Raw genomic sequence first — 22,480 nt, 5'->3', positions numbered from 1 at the left:
TCCAGCTACCTCGGCCTCCTAAAGTGCTGAGATTACAGGCCTGAGCCACCATGCCCGGCCTTTGGTCCTTATTTCTGCAAAGATTATCTGCCATGAGTATTCCTTGATTCTAAGGTACACACATGCTCTCCTGATGTCTGAGATCAGGACACATCTTAAAATAAAGGATAGGTACATATATTTAATATTTCACACCACTCATCTCATACCCCTCTAAATAAAAGAGGACATCAAATCAATATTGAATCTTATAATGAAAATCATCTTAGATGAAAATATAACACTCTCTCTCTTTGTCTCTCTCTTAGAAAAATGGCATCGTGCTCTTTGCTGGTCTGCTTTTTTTCTCACTTCATTTTAACCACACCAATATCTGGAGCTTTGGCCAAACAACTTGGCTTCTAGAAAATGTGGTAGGGAGTTTTCAAATGAATGTGAGTTTTGCCCTTCCCTTTAACTCTCTAAATTGGTTTCTTAGGAATTAATTCCATAGTTCTTTCTCTAGATAATGTTTAAAAAATATCTTCACATGAAAAACACAATCCCTTTTTTTTTTTTTTTTTGAGATGGAGTCTTGCTCTGTAACTAGGCTGGAGTGCAGTGACTCAATCTCAGCTCACTGCAACCTCTGCCTCCCAGGTTCAAGTGATTCTCCTGCCTCAGCCTTGCAAGTAGCTGGGACTATACGCCCGCACCACCACACCTGGCTAATTTTTGTATTTTTAGGAGGAATGGGGTTTCACCATGTTGACCAGGATGGTCTCGATCTCCTGACCTCGTGATCTGCCCGCCTTGGCTTCCCAAGGTGCTGGGATTACAGGCGTGAGCCACAGAACCCGGCCGATCCAATCTTAAACTTATAACTTATGAGTTTTGTGACTTTACACAAGAGTCTTAATCTTTCTGGACTTCACTTTTTTGATCTGCATAATGGGAACAGTAATAGGACCCTTCTCCGTGGGGTATCTGAAAGGATTATATGAGGTAATGGATGTAAACAGCACTTATGAAAACACATAGCAAGTATTCCATAAGTGGTGGCAATATTAAAAGGTTAAAAATTTGAAAAAAAACATATAAACACAAAGAGAAAAATAACAATGATCTGCAATTTTGTTACTTAAAATGAAAACTACCTTTTAATTTATATTCATCCACATTTTCTGTACATTCTTAAGTATTATATATACACCCAGACACACACAGGCATGCACTTATATGTCCATAAAAGTGAGATGAAACTGTATATATCTTCCAGTAAACAACTTTTCCCATTCTCCAATAAAGTATAAATATCTTTCCAGGTCAACTCCCTTAGATCTTTTAAATTCCAAGAACAAAAGATAAAAGAAGCTCTACCAAAATACAAACAACAAGCAACAACAACAACAATCTTCCTACCTTGATGTGTACGTCTGTAATTGTGGTGTTAAAGTTGTGTAGGGAAAAAGGGAGAAAGCTTCATTTGTCTTCCTCCAGCTTGAGTTGATAGTTGGTGATTGGACTAATGGTCCCATGTACTGTTGTAACTTCAGGAACCGCCGTGAAGCAAGGATTCATCAAAGAGGGGAAGCGAGAGGATTTTGTTTGCTTATTTAATAAAAAAAATTAAAAAAATAGAGATTTCCTTTAGCTTGGAGGTATGGTTTAATTAGAATGGTTTTCTCCTGGGTTTTTGTGCCCTCATTCTCCACCTCTCCTCCATAAAGCCTGCCTGAGAAATGCCTTCTTAAATATGAACAAAATCATCCTAATTATTTAATCTACTCTTATGGAACACAGCACGTGGAAGAATGCGCCCTCAGTTTGACCTTCTGTGGTAGAGGAAAAGAGAGAAAGTCTAGATTTAAAAAAACAAACAAACAAATACAATGACAAAAAGCTCTTCTTTACTTTGACTGTTTTGCTCTTGTCTGCTTAATTTCTCTTAACTGTGGGCTCCTTGAGGGAAGATACCCCATCGGATTTCTTTGTGCACCCTCAGAACCTCCCTAACACAAGGTACAGATCTCGGAAGGTATAAGTGAATGGATAAATGAATGTAAGAGGGAGTGATTTGCAAAATCATTGCCAGCTTTGCTATTTTTCTTTTCTCTTAGACACGATCAGTAATAGAAGACTACTACATTTTATTCGTCTAAGGAAGGGATGTTCTTAAACTTAGGTTTCCTCTACCTTCTTTCCTCAGAAAGAAAAAACAATAAAGATTCCTATGAGGAAATTATAATAAAGAGGAGGCCATACACAGTGTTACATAACTCAAATTGCAAACTGTGATTGGTTTTGGTAGGGAGGCGGGATTTGGGGGATGAGGAAGAGACTTCCTGCCAACAAGCTCCTCACATTTCAGTGCCCTAGGTAATCATCCACTGGAAATCCTCTTAAAGCCCACGTTCATGCATTCCACATTTAAAATGCATAAAACTTTTGATGATTCAAAAAGGCTCTGCGAGGTTGATGTGGTGGTCAGGGCCATGTGAATCCTAGGTCATGTGAATCCTCATACCCCATAATATGTCTCGAGGGATTTCTCAAATCCCATGTTTACGAAAGTGAGCCTTATGCCCTTCTGTACACTTATACATGTTTAAAGGATCGTCTTGAAGTGTGAAGAAACAAAGGTGTGGGAGTCAGAGCCCATTTCATTGTCTATGGAGCCAGGATCCCAGCAGAAAAAAAAAAAATTCGTTCAGCTGTTTAACTGAGAGACATTTCCATAAGGGCTATTTACAGAATTGTGAGCTGAGTTAGGAGAACCAGAAATGGATGATGAAGCACCATCAGGGACTTCTAACAGCAGGAAGTTGTCACCAACCCTGGAACACAAGGGGCAGTGGGAGGAAAAGGACCCTTGGAGTCCAGTGAAAGCTGGAGCCATGGAGGTGAGGTCACCCAGTGAGTGATGTAGACATGGGGAGCCACAAACCCTTTCAGATATATAATACAGAAGCAGAGAGGGAGTAGAGGCATTGATACCCAAGCTCTCTCTCTTGCCACCCTCAGTCTTCTGCTGGTGTTTATCATTGGTCAAACCCAACTGAAAGCCGGGGTAAGGGAACATGAGTTTCATAGTCTGTGTGCATCACAAAGAGGGCAGAGCAAGGTAGAGAATTAACCTTCGAGATGGAATTGGAGTTAGAATAACCAGCATCCTTGATTCAAGGTGGTAAAAGGGAAGACAATGCTACCTGCCTATTTGTTAAGGAGACTGAGTTGACAGGAACAAAGTTTATCGGGTGATATTCCCATGCAGAATCAACATAGAAGCTCCTCATTCTTTGGCAAGAAATGTTCCCTCCAATTGTATATATTTGACATTGGTCGGAGTGATGGATGGAGAGAAAAAAATAAAGGATACTAGGTCCTTGGTGTGTTGTTTCACGTGAAGACCACAAAGATTTTCTAGCGGAGAGATGTATTCTTATGGTAACCAGTTTCTAATAGTCCTATCCTTGTGTAGTTCCCTCCCACATTATACCAGGGTTGGTCTCACCAATGGCATACAGCGGAAGTGATGGTGTTTCACCTCTGAGATTAGATAACAAAAGAAATTGCAGGTATATTATCTCTCCCCCATCCCCCCCTTTCCTGCTCTCCTTTTTTCTTCCTCCCTTCTCCCTCCTCCCTGCTCTCTTCTCTCCTCTCTGTCTTTCAACTGATCATGGTGGGGGGCGGGGTGGGGGGCAGGTGGGGGGAGCTATTTTGGGAGCAGCCCTGAAGAGAGACCTACATAGTGAGAATCTGAGACTTCCTGCCAACAGCCACATGAATAAGCATTGAAATGAATTTCCCCCAGTCAAGCCTTCAAATGAGACGACAGCCCATCTGACTACTTGACTGCCATGTCATGAGAGACTCTGAAGCAGAACCATGCAGTTAAGCTGCTTCCAGATTCTTGACGTTCAGAAACTGCGAGCTAACTTTGAGGTTAAATGCATTTGCTCCTTTTCAGTAATGATTTGTAACATGCATTTATTTTGTGCTTATTTTAATCTTTCACAAAGCCTGGGATTCACACTCTCTTAACTGTGTAACAAAGTCCTTGTCTAGCCTCTGAGACTCAGTTTCTTCAATTTTCAGTGAAGATCACAATAATCCTATCAAAAGGGTTGTCCTGAGGATCAAATTGTTGTCCAAAATACTTATAGTATTCTAATTCCCTTAGGACAGTGCCTAAAACAGAGTAACTACTTAACAAACTTAGTTGTTATCATTAAAGAGGGAGAAAAATGGGTTTCAAATACTATTTATAATTAAGATCATGGCACCAATGAAACCTGAGATTACAGTTCACCATTATTGCATGGTCTATTTCAGCTCTGTTATTTCTCTTGCCTCGAAGACAGTTCTGTTCTCTCACAATTGCTGCAATGCACAGTTTCCCAAAACAACATGCAGTTCTGCCAACCTCAGAGGCCTGGAGCTTTGAAACATCCCCCTCCTGACCATGGAGAATTGGCTGTCTCCACTCGCGCCTCCTTGGCAGAAGGGGAATCCCTGATTTTCTGGACATGCTTTGTCACTCCCTGGGTGTGAGCCAGATCTTGCTCATGATTTCCATTCTCTAATGACTCGGGGATGAGCATGTGACTGAGTCATAGGGAGCCGGTGGGGTGTGGGTGGCTGTATGGTGTTTATACTGAAATCACAGGGGGTTGGGGCTTCATAGAAAATAGCAACAATGAGTAGATGACCGGTTCAGATGTGAGTTCAGCAAACCACCAAGGCACATGTATACCTATGTAACAAACCTGCATGTTCTGCACGTGTATCCCAGAACTTAAAGTATAATTTGAAAAAAGAAAAAAAAAAAAGAAAATAGCAACAATGAATAAGGAGTCAGAGCAGCTCACCCAAGCTCTGTCATGTTTCACACTTAACCTGGGAAAATTCACCAACTTTCCTTGTTGCTAAAAACTGCCAAGTTTTTCAATCAGTAAGCGCATCTTCTTTCTCTCTAAGAATGATGTCAAGAGCACTATTAGTAGCTTTTGTCTTGAAGCTTGAGCTGGCCTTCATGACAATCTTCCCACTTTGGCAAGAGAGTACATCCATTTTAGTTTTCAACTCTCCCTTACTCCCCAGAAGCAGGTAAAAAGGAAAAGCAGCAGTGAAAATAGTAGCTGTCATTCTGTGTCAATTACCCTCCTAGGCATAGAAATCTCTGACTGGAAAAGAATGGAAGAAAATTGCCAAGTGGACAGAAGGTTGAATCCCAGTATTTTCTCTCCAAAGCAATTCACCTTTCAGACTACACATATTCAAAGAAGCATATGGGCCGGGTATGGTGGCACATGCCTGTAATACCAGCACTTCGGGAGGCCGAAGTGGGGGTATCACATGGGGTCAGGGGTTTGAGACCAGCCTGGCCGACATGGTGAAACCCCATCTTTACTAAAAATACAAAAATTATCCAGGTGTGGTGGCATACACCTGTAATGTCAGCTATTCTGGAGGCTGAGGCAGGAGAATCACTTGAACCGAGGAGGCAGAGGTTACAGTGAGCCAAGGTTGTACCACTGCACTCCAACCTGGACGATAGAGTGAGTGAGACCCTGTCTTAAAACAAACAAACAAAAGCATATGTACAAGCACATATTTAGAGTCATGCTGTTTACAATAGTGAAAAATAGGAAGCTACAAAAATGACCATCTATTCGTGACTAATTCAACTCATTCATATACTTTCAAAAGTGGTATACTCTATAACCATTAGCAAGAATATGCTATATTTATTTGTATTATATACCCAAATTATAAATCATTCTACTATAAAGACACATGCACACATATGTTTATTGAGCCACTGTTCACAATAGCAAAGACTTGGAATCAACCCAAATGCCTATTAATGATAGACTGGATAAAGAAAATGTGGCACATATACACCGTGGAATATTATGCAGCCATAACAAAGAATGGGTTCATGTCCTTTGCAGGGAAGCCATCGTTCTCAGCAAACTAATACAGGAACAAGAAAGCAAACACTGCATGTTCTCACTCATAAGTGGGAGTTAAACAATGAGAACACCTGGACACAGGGAAGGGAACATCACACACGGGGGCCTGTCAGGGGTTGGGGGGCAAGGGGAGGGAGAGCATTAGGACAAATACCTAATGCATGCGGGACTTAAAAACCTAGATGACGGGTTGATAGGTGCAGCAAACCACCATGGCACGTGTATACCTATGTAACAAACTTGCATGTTCTGCACATGTATCCCAGAACTTAAAGTAAAATTAAAAAAAGATAAATAAATAAAAAACAAACAAAATCACACAAAGGAATGTATAAAATATCTATAAGTGAGCCACGTCACAGTATAATAGGAATAGTGTAGTTCCATTTCTGTTTTGAATTATCCTCTGAGTGTGTATCTGCATATATTTATTCGAATAAAAAATGTAGGTGTCTGGAACGTTACACACTAAACTATTAACAGTAATTGGGGGTGGCCTGGTTTTGGGAAGGATCAGAAGAAAAACAGCTTTTACTCTCTAAAAATCTCTAAAATTCTACACTGTTTGAAATTCTAACAACAAACATATTTGTGGATGACTTTTAATTACTTTTTATTAACCAGCTTAAAAACGGAGAGGTATAAGACATGGTACCCTGGGTTTCTTCTAGTTTCTCTGCAACAAACTAGTTATGAACAACTAGCTAGTTTTGGAGAGAGGCCCAAAGTATAGGAGAAGGGGAAAAAATGAAGGGATGTGGGAGAAAGAAAAGAAGGAAACTGGACAGTGGGAAGAGAAAATAACTACACGAGTATAGTCCAACAGGAACTATGGAAGAATTCTAAAACTCTAGACTCACCTGGAAGTTTGCTGAAAGACAAAGTTGGGGCCCTAGCCCTGGAGATCTTGAGTCAGTCGGTCTAGAGAGGACAAGGGAAACTGCATTTTAATGCTTCTCCCAGGTGTCTCTCATTAGAAACCATAAACAATGGGGTTAAGGCCCAGCTCCGCAACCACTGCCTCTGCAACCTTGGACAGGCTGCTTGACCTCTCTGTCCGTTTGTTCCCTCATCTATAAAAAGAATTCCTTACACTCTCATTCTCAACTGTGAGTTTGTATCACAATAGCCTGGAGGGCTTGTTAAAATGCAGATTTCTGAATCTCTCTTTCTGCAAATTTCTGAGTCATTGGGTCTAGCAGTGAGCCCGATAAATTTGCATTTTGAACAAGTTCAAGCGCTGTGGATGCTGCTGGTCTGGAAATCACTTTTGAGAACCAGGACTTTACCATTGAACAAACCACAGGTTGCTGTAAGTAAGGTGCAAACGAAATCATACATGAGTGAGTGTTTTGAAACTAAAAAGGCTCATGTCACGGTGGTTAAATGTATCATTAACATCCTGCCTCCTCTACTTATAACTTTACAATTTGAGGAAAAACATCATATAGTCTTCCTGAGCCTTGATTTCCACATCTCTAAAATGGGTATAACGTTTGATAGATGTGAAATTTCCGTGAAATATGCATTAATTCTCACATGATTACCACAGGAATGCTGGGAAGATTAAATCATTTTCAATGGAGAAAGTGTCTACCTGTGACAATTTTTGCTTTTATTACTGTCAGTGCTAAAGTACTGTAAATGAGGAAAAAAAAGATTTGGGCACCAGGGGAATTCAGCTATAATTTATCAAGCCTCATCTGCATGCTCAGGGGTGGCCATTCAGTGAAAATTGAAGTAGCAGGAATCTCTTTGCCAAACCACAGCAAGAACTGAGGCACCGGGCTCTGGATCCCGATACAGGTGCGCTGCAGAGTGGGTCATGTGACCTTGATACTAAGAACCATTATTCCCTTGCTTAGAATTGGAAATCTGAGAACTTCCCCTTGGGACTCTTGAGAAATCAGCCAGTCAACATGATCAAGAGCTGGCTGGAAAGCCAGGCTCTTTTCCTCCAGACCTATTTGGGTCTTGAGGCCTTGAACACCCACGGGTCCCTTCTCCACTCTGAGCCCAGTTCACCCTCTGTGTCCCAGTTTTTCCATGCCCCAAACTCCCGGATCTTCATGCGGGTTCTGCGAAGAAGTGGCAAGAACACAAACCCTGACACCAGCATCCCGCCCATTGGTAGGCAAGCTCTGCTCCTCCCTGCTGCATTCTGATGGGGAGGGGACAGATGTAAGAGTTGTTGAAAGAATTGAGTTAACCCAAGGGAACCACCTGGCACATAGTAGACGCTTTCCCAATGAGATCTGTTGTTCTCAACACTCCACCATGCCTATCTAGTCACTGTCCCTTCCAGGGACACCCTAAAGTGGCTGAAGGACTGTCCTGCCAGGGACATGACTTGGCTCCTCCCTACTCATGAGTTTCCTGCCAGCCTTTCCCATGACGTCTTTCATTGCTTTTCAGTGCATGATTCATCTAAGCAAACGCTTAGTGTTTTTTGTAAGCATGCTCACCCCAGTTCTCCATCATCAGGGCCACCCGGGAATGCTCTTTTAAATAACAGATTCTTCTTTTTTTTTTTTTTTTTTTTTTGCCAATTCTTGGGCTCTAATTTTAAAGAGCAGATTCTTCTTCTTTTTTCTTCTTCTTCTTCTTCTTTTTTTTTTTTGCCAATTAATTCTTGGGCTCTAATTTTAAATAGCAGATTATTCTTCTTCTTTTTTTTTTTTTTTTTTTTTTTTTTTTTTTTTTTTTGCCAGTTCTTGGGCTCTAACTCAGATTATCTGCATCAGGTTCTTTGAAGATGAGGCCACTTCCGCATTGTTAAGAAGTTCCATGGATTCTCATGCACGGTAAAGTTGAAGAATCACTGTTCTCCACGATTTTGTGTCTGTACTGGAGAAGTTGGCTCAGAGATGTATGTATATTATTATCATATATTGTTAAAGCTATTTTGATAGATAACATCAATAACAATGACTGTATCCATTGAGTATTTACTAGGTGTGAGACCTTATAGCAAGGTGCAGGCAGCAAACTACAGCCCCCTCGCCAAATTCAGCTCACCTCCTGTTTTTGCAAATGAAATTTTGTTGGGTTCTGTACTGTCTATGGCTACTTGCATGTGCCACAGCAGCAGAGCTGAGTACTTGCAACAGGACCCCAGGGTCAGCACAACGGAGAATATGCATTCTCTTCCCTTTTAAGAAAAAGAGTTTGCAGAACTCTGCCACAGAGATGAGCACAGACCCTGTGTGCTCAAAGATACTGTGTCCACTCTACCATGAAATCATGGTGAACCCTTAAAAGTGATGCCATAGAAAAATAATTTCTGCTACTGAAAAATGCTCATATTGGAGAGTGAAGTAAAAAACACAGAGACGCTAGATTTCAATCTTGAGCAATTATTGCTCTGTGCCTCACTCTCCTTATTGGAAAAATGGCAGCAACAAAAATAGTTCCTCCCGGCATTTGTGGAGATTAAGTGAGAAGACTAAAGTAAAGGGCTTGGCCCCATGTCTGACACATCATAAATGCTCTAAAGAAACCCACAGTCATTCTTTAATCTGCATGGTAAGTAAGATTTTCATTCTTTCCAAGTTGCTTGTCCACTTATACTAAATGTTTGACAAAATTTTACAAAAAGTTATGCGTGCCATACAAAAGAACAAAGTCATGCCCTTTGCAGCAACATGGATGGAGCTGGAAACCATTACTCTAAGTAAACCAGCACAAGAACTGAAAACCAAATGCCTCATGTTCTCACTTATAAATGGGAGCTAAACATTGAATGCACATAGACATAAAGATCAGAACAACAGTCACTGGAGACCACTAAACGGGGGAGGGAAGGAAAATGGCTGAAAACCCACCTATTGGGTACTACGCTCACTACCTGGGTGATGGGATCATTTGCATTCCAAACTCCAGCATCGTGCATGATATCCATGTCACAAATCTGCAGATATACCCCCTGAGTCTAAAATAAAAGCTGAAAAATTTTAAAAACTTATGCATGTGCTTGCATAGCTGTATGATAGGCAAAAGCACCTGTTTGCTGTTTGCTTGTTTATTGTCAGGATGGGTCCTGCCTCCTGGAACTTTGCTCTATCCCCACTTACTGTTCTGCAGGACCTCATGATTCTCAAAGCAAATCACCCGTAAATTGCTCCCTGGCACAGTTTCCAGTTGCCACCTGCGATTTTATTTGCCTGTGGATTTTGTTGATAACAAATGCCTCTGTGCCTTTGTACAAATTCCTCTTTTCTTCATCTGGTCTTGGTTTCTCTGTCTTTAAAAGGGGAACATTAGGAGGAGATGGTCTGTGAGCCCCTTTCCAGCTCTCACATTCCGCTGCCCTGGGATGGCGAAGCAGCTTACGCACTTGAAGTTCCCACCACGTCCAGCCTCCTCACTGTGCTCTGGGGAGCGGAAAGCCTGTGAAACAGAGCTTCCCTCCTTCTGGGCTGCTGGGCGTGGTGATCCTTTCAGCAACTCTGGGATCTGGATTAGGAGCTTGAGCAATGACCTTAAGCCCTGCACTCTATTTAATTTCCTTGATTTATAGCCAGGTTTTCTCGCACCTCCAGGGAAGAGACGTACTGCCATCTCAGTCTGATTCCCAGGCTGAGCCCACAATTCCTCGGCCTGTTTATCCACCTCTTGCTACAACAGAGTCCATCTCCAGGGGCCATTGTGCACCTCTTTTGAATGAGGTGGCATAGCCAAGCCCTGGCTCCTCTCCACCCACTAGGATTTCCTCTCGTGGAGGTGGCTTTGGGTTCTCATGATGCACGCATCCTAGCCCTGAAGACTGCCCAAGGGACAACATGTGAATTTTATCAGCAACCGCCAGTGGGGCTTCCTTGGACCCCTAAGATCCCATTTGTTTGTCTGACATTGGGGGTGGAGACCAGCACAGCCCCAAAGGTAGAGCTTGTTGAGTCTTGGGGTGGCTGGAGGACGTGTGCAGGCCAGCAGTTGGGAGCAGAAGCCCTGGGGAGGGAGAGTTGGCTCCAGCTTCAGTTGGCTGTCCTTCTGGGTTAGAGGGGAAGTTGAGAAGGGAATCCAGGATCTGAAAAGACCCAGGAGGGGAGGAGGTCAGGATGGGGAAATAAGGACATGAGAACTCTGTCCTCCTTTCTCATGGCTTTCTCCTTTAACTGGAGCCAGGTTTGCTTCCAAAGCAGCTGGTGTAACCAAGCTGAGGCCAGGGAACTGGAAACCTGGGCATATCCACAAGCAATATGGATGCGGAAGTTGTTGCTGTGTATACAGTAGGTGTCCCCACAGATGCAGGAAGCTTCACTACCACTGGTCCTTTGCCCAGATACCAACGTTGACACCTTGGGAACCCTTATGCAAGTCTGCAAGCAGCTCAGTCTCCTTCTTTCTTTTTCTCCCTTTTTCTTCTCTTTTACTCATTATTCTTCTATTGTGGTCCTCTTTTCCTAGCTTTCCTCTCTCTTCCCAGCTGTTTCTCTCCCCTTTCCCTTGTTCTCCTGTCATTCTCACTATCTCCCTGTCTTCTCTCCCACTCCTCTTTTATATTTTCTTTCTTCTTTTTATTCGGTTTCCTCTTTGTCTATCACTTGTATCCCCTTCCCTTCTTCTGTTGCACTTCTTTACTTCCTAAAGCAGTCATCCTCAGTGTGGTCCCCGGACCAACAGATCAGCATCACCTGGGAACTTGTTAGAAATGCAAATTCTCTGACCCCACTCCAGACCTGCTGCCTCAGCCACTCCCAGAGTGGAACCTGACAATCTGTGTTTTCATAAGCCTCCAGGGGAGACGATGCAAGCTAAAGTTTGAGAATCATGATATAAGAGGAAAATGGCAATTTTCCAAAAAATTGGAGTATCTTTGAGTGCTGATCCAAAAAGCCCTCATTTCTAAACATGTAAAGCCCTCCTGTCCCCATTAGCTAATTTGGACGTTGGACCACCAGCCTGGCTGAGATGCTTTCAGAAACAACACAAGCAATTACACTCAAGTTCTCTGATTACTATCAGGCTGCTAAATCCCCTCGGCCAAACTATGTCTTTCCTGTTCCTGGACTCTGCCTTGCTTCCTCTCCTTCTCCAGTTGCTTTGAGGAGTAAGGCATCAGGGGACACTGGACCTTATATCCAGCAGCTCATAGTCGGGATCAACATGTGGCAAAGTGTGTTCCTCAGATACTGATAGGGATATTAATAGAAAAGGGTACCGTAGTCGAATACAGGTGGGGAATGCTCAGTAAACAGATTTCTTGATTGCAGAATTTTTTAGAGTCCAAGTGCATAGTGGCTCTTGGTTGTTTCTTTTTTTTTTTTTTTCCCAAGGCAGAGTCTCACTGTGTCACCCAGGTTGCAGTGCAGTGGCATGATCATGGCTCACTGCAGTCTGAACCTTCTAGGCTCAAGAATCCTCCAGCCTCAGCCACCAGAGTAGCTGGAACCACAGACGTGCACCAGCATAGTGGCTCTTAAAAGCAGTTCGGTGCTAGTAGCATATCCTGAACTTAACCACAGAGCTCTATTTTCCACTGGGCATTGCACAGGATAAGTAGATTTGGAAGATGCTAATTTAGGAGTTCATAACCTTTCTCCTCAGGAGTGTCACCTGTCTTAGGCAGTGTCTGGTATGGAGGAAAGAACCAAGATGGTGCTCAGTAGAGTATTTTGACCCTGAAAGGGCCTGTGCATGAAGAGAAAGGGCATGTTCAGGAGCTCCTGGGCCTCCTGACATGCCCACCTGTTGGTGTCTAAGTGGGTGATGAACAGCCTTTTGTGCTCAGATGGTGAAGCCAGCTTCCCTCCATGATACTGACTATACTCTGATTTCAGGAGGAAGAATGAGAAAACTATCCTTAAATTGCTCTTTCTTAAAGATGCCCAGAACATACCCCTGGAGATTCTCTTTCAGTAGATCTGGCATGAGGTCTGGGAATCTAGATTTTTTTAAAGTTCCCAGGGGCTTTGGATATAAAATGAGGGCTAAAAGCCACTGGTTTACATGAATCCATGCATGGTGTTTAAATAATGATATGTTCAGGGAAATAGAGAAACCAGAGCTATGTCCATAACCTTTGAAACAGACATAAGGGAAGACAGCCAGATCCTTTTTCTAACATCATACATGGGGCCCTCAACAGGGAAAATGGACTGTGGTTTTGCTTGGGGGTGGTAACATTGAGGTGGGAGTAGAGAGAGAGAGCTTCTTATTTTCCTATAAACCTGAAAGATACAAAACCATGGTTTAGATCAGTGACAAATAACCCTGTTTTTTTACATCAGAAAGAAGTATTCAGGAAAAATAAAACAATTTTATAGCCTATTTTTTCCATTAAACTTGAAAATAGTTTTATTGAGTCCCACAAGGGGGAAATGTGTTTTTACCATTGAGTCGATCAACCTACTTTTAGCAGCAGAAATCTTTTCTCAAGAGAAGCCTTATATTTAAACTCCAACATATACCATATTAAAAAAGGTCACACTGCTTGAAGAGTAGATGGGAGATCTGAGGTCCAAATAAGTGGGTCATTTTCTCACTGAGTTTTGGAGGTAATATAGGCATTTTGGGGGAACAAGAATGGGAAACCCATATCCTACTTTCTGGATTCCTCCGCCCGCCAAAGTCAATGAGAAAATCAGCACTTCTCTCCCTCCACAAAAATGTTATTTTCCAAGAATATTAAATTAGTCACAACATGACAGCAGCTTCCAAATTTTTAACATGATACCAAATCTCAAACTACATTTATTTTAATGAATTGAGATTCTAGCAATTGCACTTAAAAATTCTCTTTAATTTTTAGAATTCACATCACTTAAACTTCTATAGAGACTTCTTAGTTGTTGCTGTTTTTAATCTGGGATTTGATAGAGTTCATGACTTTTTCATCTCATCTGAAAAGACTACAGCAACAATAACAAAATAAACTTAGTGTATACTATCCTTATTCTTGCAGGAAGAAGTAACTGGAACACAATCATCTGGCAAAATCAACTGAGAAAAATGGAAAAAAAGTACCACCTGGCTTCCTTGCTAGTAATATTTTTAGTGGCAATAATACCCAAATAATGTGGATCCCAATCAAGGTAATAAACAGATCCATCACCTTCCAAAGTTTTCTTTTGTCCCTTTGTGTGTGTGTGTGTGTGTGTGTTTGTGTGTGTGTGTTAAGAACACTTAACATGAGATCCACCCTTTTAACAAATTTTTAAGTACACTTTATTGTATTAACTACAGGCACTATGTTATACAGAAGATCTTGAGAACTTATCCATATTGCATAACAGAAACTTTATACCCATTGAGAAAACAACTCCTCATGTCCCTCTTTCCCCAGCCTTGGCAACCACCATGCTGTTCTCTGCTTTTATGAGTTTGGCTATTTTAGATTTCTCATAGAAGTGGGATAATGCAGTATTTATCCTTCTGTGACTGGTTTGTATCACTTAGCATAACGTCTACCAGTTTGATTCATATTGTATGTAAATGGGAAGATTTCCTTGTTTTTTTTAAGCCTGGATAATATTTTGTTGAGGTTGCTTCCATGACTTGGCTACCTGTGTGTGCTACTTGAAGTGTAGATTATCTCTTCAAAATCCTCATTTCAATTCCTTTAGCTATAAACTCTGGAGTGGAATTGCTGGATCATATGGTAGCTCTATTTTTAATTATTGGAGGAACTTCTATTTTGTTTCCTAAAATGGCCATACCAATTTACATTCCCACCAATAGCGTACAAGAGTTCTTTTTCTTCTACATCCTTGCCAGCACATCTATTTTCCCTTTGAAAATAGCCATTCTAATAGGTATGACGTGATATTTCATTGTGGTTTTGATTTGTGTTTCCCTGATGGTTAGTGATGTCGAGCACCTTCTCATATATGAGAGGACTTCAAAAATTCATGAAGAAAAACTCTATCTTTTATATTAAAAGATAAAAAGAAAAAATGCAAACTTTATTTTTCTCAACATAAGAATCATCAACTTCAAGACACTTTTGCAAGCAGTAATACCAGCCATTTAGTCCATCACTAAAGAACCAAGGGTTTTGGGGATTTAACCATGTTAAGCCAGTATTTTTTATGTTATTAACTGAAGAAAAATGGGTACCATTTAAATACTTTTTAAGATTAGGAAGCCAAAAGAAGTCAGAAGAAACCAAATATGGACTGGAAGGTGGATGCCTAATAATTTTCCATTCAAACTCTTGCAAAAGTGCACTTGTTTGATGAGAGGAATGAACAGGAGTGTTGTTGAAGTGGAGAAGGACTTTCTGGTGATGGTTTCCCAGGTGTTTCTCTGCTAAAGCTTTAACTAACATTCTCATAATAAGCAGATATTATAATTCTTAGGCCCTCCAGAAAGTTAACAAGCAAATGCCTTGAGCATCCCAGAAAACTGTTGCCATGACCTTGCTCTTGACTGCTCTGCTTTTGCTTTTACTGGACCATTTCCACCTCTTGGTTGCTATTGCTTTGATTGTTCTTTGTCTTCAGGATTATAATAGTAAAGCCATGTTTCATCTCCTGTTACAATTCTTCAAAGAAATGTTTCAGAACCTTAATTCTACTTGTCCAAAATTTTCATTGAAAGCTCTGCTCTTGTCTGCAGCAGGTCTGGATGCAGCTGATGGTGTTGGTGCCATTGAGTAGAAAGTTTGCTCAACTTTAATTTTTCAGTTGAAATTGCATAAACTGAGCCAACTGAGATGTCTGTGATGTTGGCTATTGTCTCTGCTGTTAGTCATTGATCCTTTTCAATTAGGTCACACACAAGATTAATTTTTTCCTTACAAATCACTGTGGATGGTCTGCCACCGTGGGCTTCATCATCAACAGTGTCTCGTCCTTTCTTATAGTGAGTTATCCATTTGCAAACAGCTGATGTCTTTGGGGCATCATCCCCATAAATTTTTCATAAAACATCGATGATTTTGCCATTCTTCTACCCAAGCTTTACCATACATTTGATGTTTGTCTTTGCTTCAATTTTAGTAGAATTCATGTTGCTTTGATAAGGACTATTCTCAAACTGATGTCTTATCCTTCCTAGTGCCTCCAACTAGATCCTGTTGAGACATGTTGTAACAAGTTAGTATAAGTTTATTTCCATGTAAAAAATTTTGAAATCCATGCCTAGTTTTTTTTGTAATACACATCTTCTGTGAACATTTTGAATTCCTTTTGTACTTGGCCATTTGTAAATCATTGGAGAAATGTTCATTCAAATACTTTTCCCATTTTAAAATTAGGTTATTTGTATTTTTGCCATTGAGTTGTAAGAGGTTCTTGTATATTTTGTGTATTAACCCCTATCAGATAAACAGTTTGCAAATATTTTCTCCCATCCCATAGGTTGTTTTTTCACTCTGTTGATTATTTCCCTTGTGCTGCAGAAGCTTTCAATTTGATGTAGTCCCACTAGTAACTTTTTGCTTTTGTTGTGTATGCTTTTGATGTCATATCCGAGAAATCATTGCCTAGATTGAAACTTCTCAACCAAGAAAAGCCTAGCACCAGATGGCTTCACTGGTGAATTCTAGCAAACATTTAAAGAAGAATTGATGCCAATATATTTCAAGCTCTTCCAAAAAATTGAAGAGGAAGAAACCCTTCCAAACATATTTTATGAGGCCAGAATTACCCTGTTACTAATGCCAAAGATACTATAAGAAAAAAAACTACAGGCTAATATCCTTGATGAACACAGATGCAAAAATTCATAACAAAATACTAGCAAATCAAATTCAACAGCACATTAAAATATCATACACCCTGAAAAGTGAGATTTATCCCTGGGATGCAAGGATGGTTCAACATATACAGAGCAATGAATATAATATCCCATATTAAGAGAATGAAGGTTAATAAGCATATAATCATCTTAGTAGATGCAGCAAAAGCATTTGACAGAATTCAACACCATTTTACGACAAAAACTTTCAGCAAATTAAGTGTAGAAGAAACTTACCTCAGAACGCTGAAGACTGTATATGAAAAGCCCACAGCTAACATCATACTCAGTGGTGAAAAACTGAAAGTGTTTCCTTTAAGATCAGGAACAAGACAACGATGCTCACTCTAGCTACTTCTATTAAGGATGGTAGTAGAAGCCAGAGCAATTAGGGAAAAAATGAGATATTTAAAAAGACATTCAGATCGGAAAAAAAGTAAAATTGTCTCTATTTGCAGATGGCATAATCTAAAGACTCCACCAAAAAAGTGTTAGAACTAATAAATGAATTTAGTAAAGTCACAGGACACAAAATCATCATTTAAAAATCAGTTGCACCAGGCATGGTGGCTCACCCAACATTTTTGGAGGCTGAGGTAGGAATATAGCTTGAGTTCAGGTTTTGAGACCAGCCTGAGAAACATAGCGAGACTCTATCACTACAAAAATAAATAATAAAAAAAAACAAATTAGTCAGGCATGGTGGCACACAACTGTAGTCTCAGCTACTCAGGAAGCTGAGGTGGGAGGATTGCTTGATCCTAGGTCGAAGCTACAGTAAGCCATGATTGGTCCACTGCACTCTAGCCTGGATGACAAAGTGAGACCCTCTCTCTCTCAAAAAAAAAAAAAAAGAAAAATCAGCTGCATTTCCATACACTAAAAATAAACTATTGGCAAAAAATAAAGAAAGTGACCTTATTTACAACAGCATCAAAAAGATAAACATGCAAAAACAATTATGTTTCTACAAACTACCAATGAACACATGGACACAAAGATTAAAAAGTACAATACCATTTACAACAGCATAGCTACAAATCTGATAAAGCATATACAGGACTAAATGATACAGATATACTAAAAAATGCAATATGCCAATGAAAGAAATCAAAGAAGGTCTAAATAAAAGGAGAGACATACTGTATTAAAAAAATAAGATACTTAGAAACAAATTTAACTGTAAAGGCACATTGGTACAGTGAAAAGTACAAAACATTGATGAAAGCAATGAAAAATGACACAAATAAATGGAAAGAAGTTCATGTCATGGATTTGAAGACTTAATATTGTTAAAATATCTACACTACCCAAAGTAAATTTGTAGATTCAATGCTATCCCCAACAAAATCCCAGTGACTTTTTTTGTATAGAAATAGAAAATGTTCTCTTTTCTTTGTTTCTACCAGGGTTGAAGAGAGACCTTTTGGGAGGAGTTTAAAGGGGGAATGTCCTTGAGTATGTGGAAGAAAATTGAGGAAGGTAAAGTGTTCACTGGAAGTAACATGGGGTGAGCCATGAAATGCATCCTCAATAACATCCTTTGATAGACTCAGATAAAGAATGAAATTCCTTTTCATTTCATTGATTGGCTGTTTGATATGGTTTTGCTGTGTCCCTGCCCAAATCTCATCTTGAATTGTAGTTCCCATAATCCTCATGTGTCGTGGGAGGGACCTGGAGGGAGGTAATTGAAACATGGGGACAGTTACCTCCATGCTGTTCTCCTGATAGTGAATGAGTTCTCACGAGATCTGATGGTTTTATAAGGGGCTTCCCCCTGACCCCTATTTTGCTCATTCTTCTCCTTGCTGCTTCCATGTGAAGAAGGACGTGTTTTCTTCCCCTTCTGCCATGATTGTAAGTTTCCTGAGGCCTCCCCAGCCATGCTGGGGAGTCAATTAAACTGTGAGTCAATTAAACCTCTCTCCTTTATAAATTACCCACTCTCAGGTATGTCTTTATTAGCAGCATGAGAACAGACTAATACACTGTTGAAGGACACTTTTTGAATGCTTCATCACTCAGAGGTGAAAAATCAAAGGGCAATTATGCTGCATTTATAAACAAGTGTTTTTGCTACATTTCTTTAAAGCTACTCATGATTTAACATTTTAAAAAATCAGCATGGCTATGCCACGACTAGTGAATAAGGAGATGTGAATAATACACATCTTCCATGAACGTTTTGAAGTCATTGAAGCCTTTAGTAATGGACTAGATGGCTGGTATTATTGTTTGCATAATCCGCATATTTGGAAGGTCTCAGTTCCTGGGCTACCTTACCCTTGCTCCTAGTCAGTCTGAATCCCGTGCACCCCAGGGGGCTTAGAACAGTGGTTCTCCAACTGGGGTACCTGGACTAACAGCAGCAGCATAACCTGGGAGCTTCTCAGAAATTTACATCCTTGGTCCCCATCCTGAACCTGCTGCATCAGAAGCCGTGGGGGTAGGGCCTGGCAACCTGTGTTATTGTAAGCCCCCCAGGACATTCTGGTAGTCACTCAAGTTTAAGCACCCCTGGCCTTTTCCAAGGTTTTGGTGGCTAAGCTTCTGTTACAAAGCTGCCCCTTTTTCCTGAATTCCCCTCTCTAACCCTGGCCTCACCCTTAATTACATGGCAAAGGTGTGCATGGGGGTTAAGAGTTCAGACTCGGAAGTCAGGGTTCTGGGTTCTAGATTCAGCTGTACCCCAACCAGCTGGGTGACCATGGCCAAGACAGGTAATTTATTTGTATTTTGATTTCTTTACCTGTAAAGGGGGGATGATAATAATAATAGTGTTTGTCTACAATAGTGATTGCAATGATTAAATGAGTTATCACATTAGGGAAATCAAGCAGTGCCTGGCACATAGTAGGTGCTCAAGATATGTTACTGGTTGGGAACAGTGGCTCACACCTGTCATCCCAGCATTTTTGGAGGACAATGGGGGCAGATCACTTGAGGTCAGGAGTTTGAGACCAACCTGGACATCATGGTGAAACCACGACTTTACTAAAAATACAAAGAAAAATTACCTGAGCTTAGTGGCATGCACCGGTAGTCCCAGCTACTCAGGTGGCTGAGCCAGGAGAATCGTTTGAACCCAGGAGGGAAAGGTTGCAGTGAGCCAAGATCGTGCCACTGCATTCCAGCCTGGGTGACAGAGTGAGACTCCATCTCAAAAAAAAAAAAAATGTTACTAATCACAGTTATCAGTCTCCCACCTAGCAAGTAAGTGCCTTAGGTAGAGAACACGTGCTCTGATGGATTTTTGTCTATGCAGTGCCAAGCTGCAGGCTACATACCAAGTAGGCACCCCACTGCATCCCCCTTGGTCATGGTTTGACATCCCTGGCTAAAGTTTAGATCTTGTCCATTGTACTTGTTAAAAAGACAAGGCACTCATTTTTTCTTTTCTTTAATTGAACACTTTGTGAGTGCCAGGCGCTAGGCCAGGCCCTGTGCAAACATTACCTCACATAATCCTCATTGCCAGTCTAGGAAGAAAGGAACGTCCTTACGTAATAGAATAGAGGATAGACTCAGAGAGGCTCAGTGGTTTTCCTGGTGTCAACAGCTGGGTAAATGGCAGAGCCAGGATTATAAAGCAGGTGTGTCTGAACTCAACATAGAGGTTTCCTCTAGAGAAGAAGAAGTGAACTCTGTAAGATAGAGACTGCCTTTTCCTTTACTGGAAATACTCTTATAACCTTTTCTAATTATAATGTGACCTATATTTGTTTAAAACTTCAAACAACATAGAAATATGACATATATGGCAAGTGGACATATTCTAGTAACTCTGCCTACCAAGAATAAACACTTTGGTAATCCAGTAGGCATAAGTCTGATTTTTTAGGTACACATAAAAACACAGACATTCACTGTCTTTCTTAATAAAAAACAAAATCATACTTTACATCTTTTTATACATTGCTATTTTTAACTTAATCTACTGGGAAATCTTTGCATGTCAATACATCCATTTGCTAATGTCACATGGATTGAAAACTAGATCTCCTGGCTCCTCCCAGCTCTGTCCCATTCCAGGACCATTTTCTTTATGCCAATTGCCAATATTTCTCAGCCAAAAGCTGAGATTCTTGGCAGAGTTTTTCACTTGACCCAGTGTACCTTCATGTGTAAATAGGCTGTTCTCTAATTATAATTCATGATGTTTGCATGTAATAGAAGTCCTGGCCGAGAAGTGTTAACTTCATTGGATATCAACCACAGAATTTTTTTCTTCCAAATCACCACCCCCTCCCAAAAATAGAAAAAAGGAAAAGAAATGGCCAGGGCTACAGACAGGCCTTTATTTCTAATACATTGCCTGAGCCCTTGTATTAGGTCATGTTTTCTCTGGCGAGAACTGCCCTTGTATTTTTTTTTTTCCTGTCCGTTTAGTCTATAAATGAAATGGAGTTACTGCCCCTATTAAAATGGAACATTGTGCCCTTAGTTTGCTCTTAACGGGTGGGAAAACCCCATTAAGTGTTTGTGAAATATGTCTTAAATACAGGAATTTTAATCTAGTGGTCTAATAAATCCCTCTCCTCTACTCAAATGAAAGTCTTAGGTTTTCCGGCATCTGTTCAGTTATTTGTTCACCAAAACTTCCTTACAAAAATCTGACCCTGAGAACTGTGAATTAAGGACGTTTCTTCCATTGGGGTTTTTTTTTAAAAAAAGACATCTTTCAAAGTAAGAAGGAACTTTGACAGGTGTATTTCATGGTAAGACACTATTTTTGAAACGTGCCTGGAATTCTTGCTCTTGGAGGGTAAAAGCCATGAAATCTCTGTGACTGCCCCAGGATGTGACAACTCATAATATTCTAAGACCTAAGACTTCGTAAAATTGTAAGTCCATTCCTTTGCCTCAACGTTCGATGGCTTCTAAAAAGTACACTCTCCTTTGGGACCATATTTCACGGGCGTTGGAAAGTTTCTCCTTAGCACATCAAGCTGGATATAAGTAGATTAAATTCATCTCTTCTGCATATTTATGTCTACTTTTTTTTTTTTACGGAAAAGATGTTTATTAGGAAACTCTGAGTATATTTTCTGGTGTAAGTTCTATCTTTATATTGGAAGCAATAGGAGAAGATGTACACTTACATTTTAGGTCAAGGTTTATATTTTTTAGCCCCAACAATTTAATATTTATTTCCTAAAATCAAGGGCATTTCCCTTTATAATAAAAATATAACTATTAAATTCAGAAGAGTAGTATTGACACATTGTTACCCTATAGTTCTCAGATGTCATTCAAGTTTCGCCTATTGTCTCTATGATGTGTTTGTAGGCTGGCACGGTGGCTCACACCTGTAATTCCAACACTTTGGGAGGCTGAGGTGGGAGGGTTGCTTGAGCCTAGGAGTTCAAGACCAGCGTGGGCAACATAGCAAGACCCATCTCCACACATAGTAAAAAGATTAACCAGCTGTGGTGGTGTGCACCTGTAGTCCTAGCTACATGGGAGGTTGAGGAAGGAGGATTGCTTGAGCCCAGGAGGTCGAGGTTGCAACAGTGAGCTGTGATCACACCACTAGGATACCCCATCTCAGAAAGAAAAAAAGTGATGTGTTTGTAGCCAAAGAATCACACGTTACATTTGGTTTTCTTGTTTCTTTTAGCTTCCTTCCAATCCGGAGCAATTCCTCAGTCTTTCCTTGACTTTCCTGTGTGGCCAGTGTGTTTCAGCAGAATGAGGTAGAATATACTTCAAAATAAACAATATCCATGGGGATCCTACCTACACTGTGACTTTCAAAATGGGATGGAAATAGGAAGGGAGCATGTTCCAGCAAACATCTGGGATTGATACTTCTCAAAATGTTCACTTGAAATCCA

General features: G+C 40.5%; 1 long non-coding RNA gene across 6 annotated transcripts in view, besides 1 other annotated feature; it reads left to right on the top strand.

Moving 5' to 3' along the window:
• The window catches only part of LOC124903082 (uncharacterized), an 85,010-nt gene that overhangs the window by 8,872 nt on the left and 53,658 nt on the right, over positions 1-22,480 (top strand). For 2 of the 6 annotated variants that reach the window (XR_007063597.1, XR_007063595.1), the window contains exons 1-3: positions 8,668-8,764; positions 13,864-13,993; positions 18,050-18,122. This is a non-coding gene — a long non-coding RNA (uncharacterized LOC124903082). Of the gene's footprint in view, positions 1-8,397; positions 8,830-13,863; positions 13,994-18,049; positions 18,123-22,263; positions 22,340-22,480 lie in introns of those variants that run through there. The other 4 variants (XR_007063596.1, XR_007063593.1, XR_007063592.1 and 1 more) reach the window with 3 other exon arrangements.
• Positions 4,099-5,298: an enhancer, noted in NCBI's record as "P300/CBP strongly-dependent group 1 enhancer chr12:115778674-115779873 (GRCh37/hg19 assembly coordinates)". NCBI's record gives its function as "activates an origin of replication core promoter dependent on BRD2, BRD4, P300/CBP, MED14 and CDK7 cofactors, with strong dependence on P300/CBP, by STARR-seq in HCT116 cells {active_cell/tissue: HCT116}" and the evidence as "EXISTENCE:reporter gene assay evidence [ECO:0000049][PMID:35650434]".

This window comes from Homo sapiens, chromosome 12 (genome assembly GCF_000001405.40).
Source record: "Homo sapiens chromosome 12, GRCh38.p14 Primary Assembly".
In the NCBI taxonomy this organism is placed as follows: domain Eukaryota; kingdom Metazoa; phylum Chordata; class Mammalia; order Primates; family Hominidae; genus Homo; species Homo sapiens.
The sequence above is the reverse complement of the archived record's forward strand: the minus strand, read 5'-3'. Positions and strand labels throughout refer to the sequence as shown.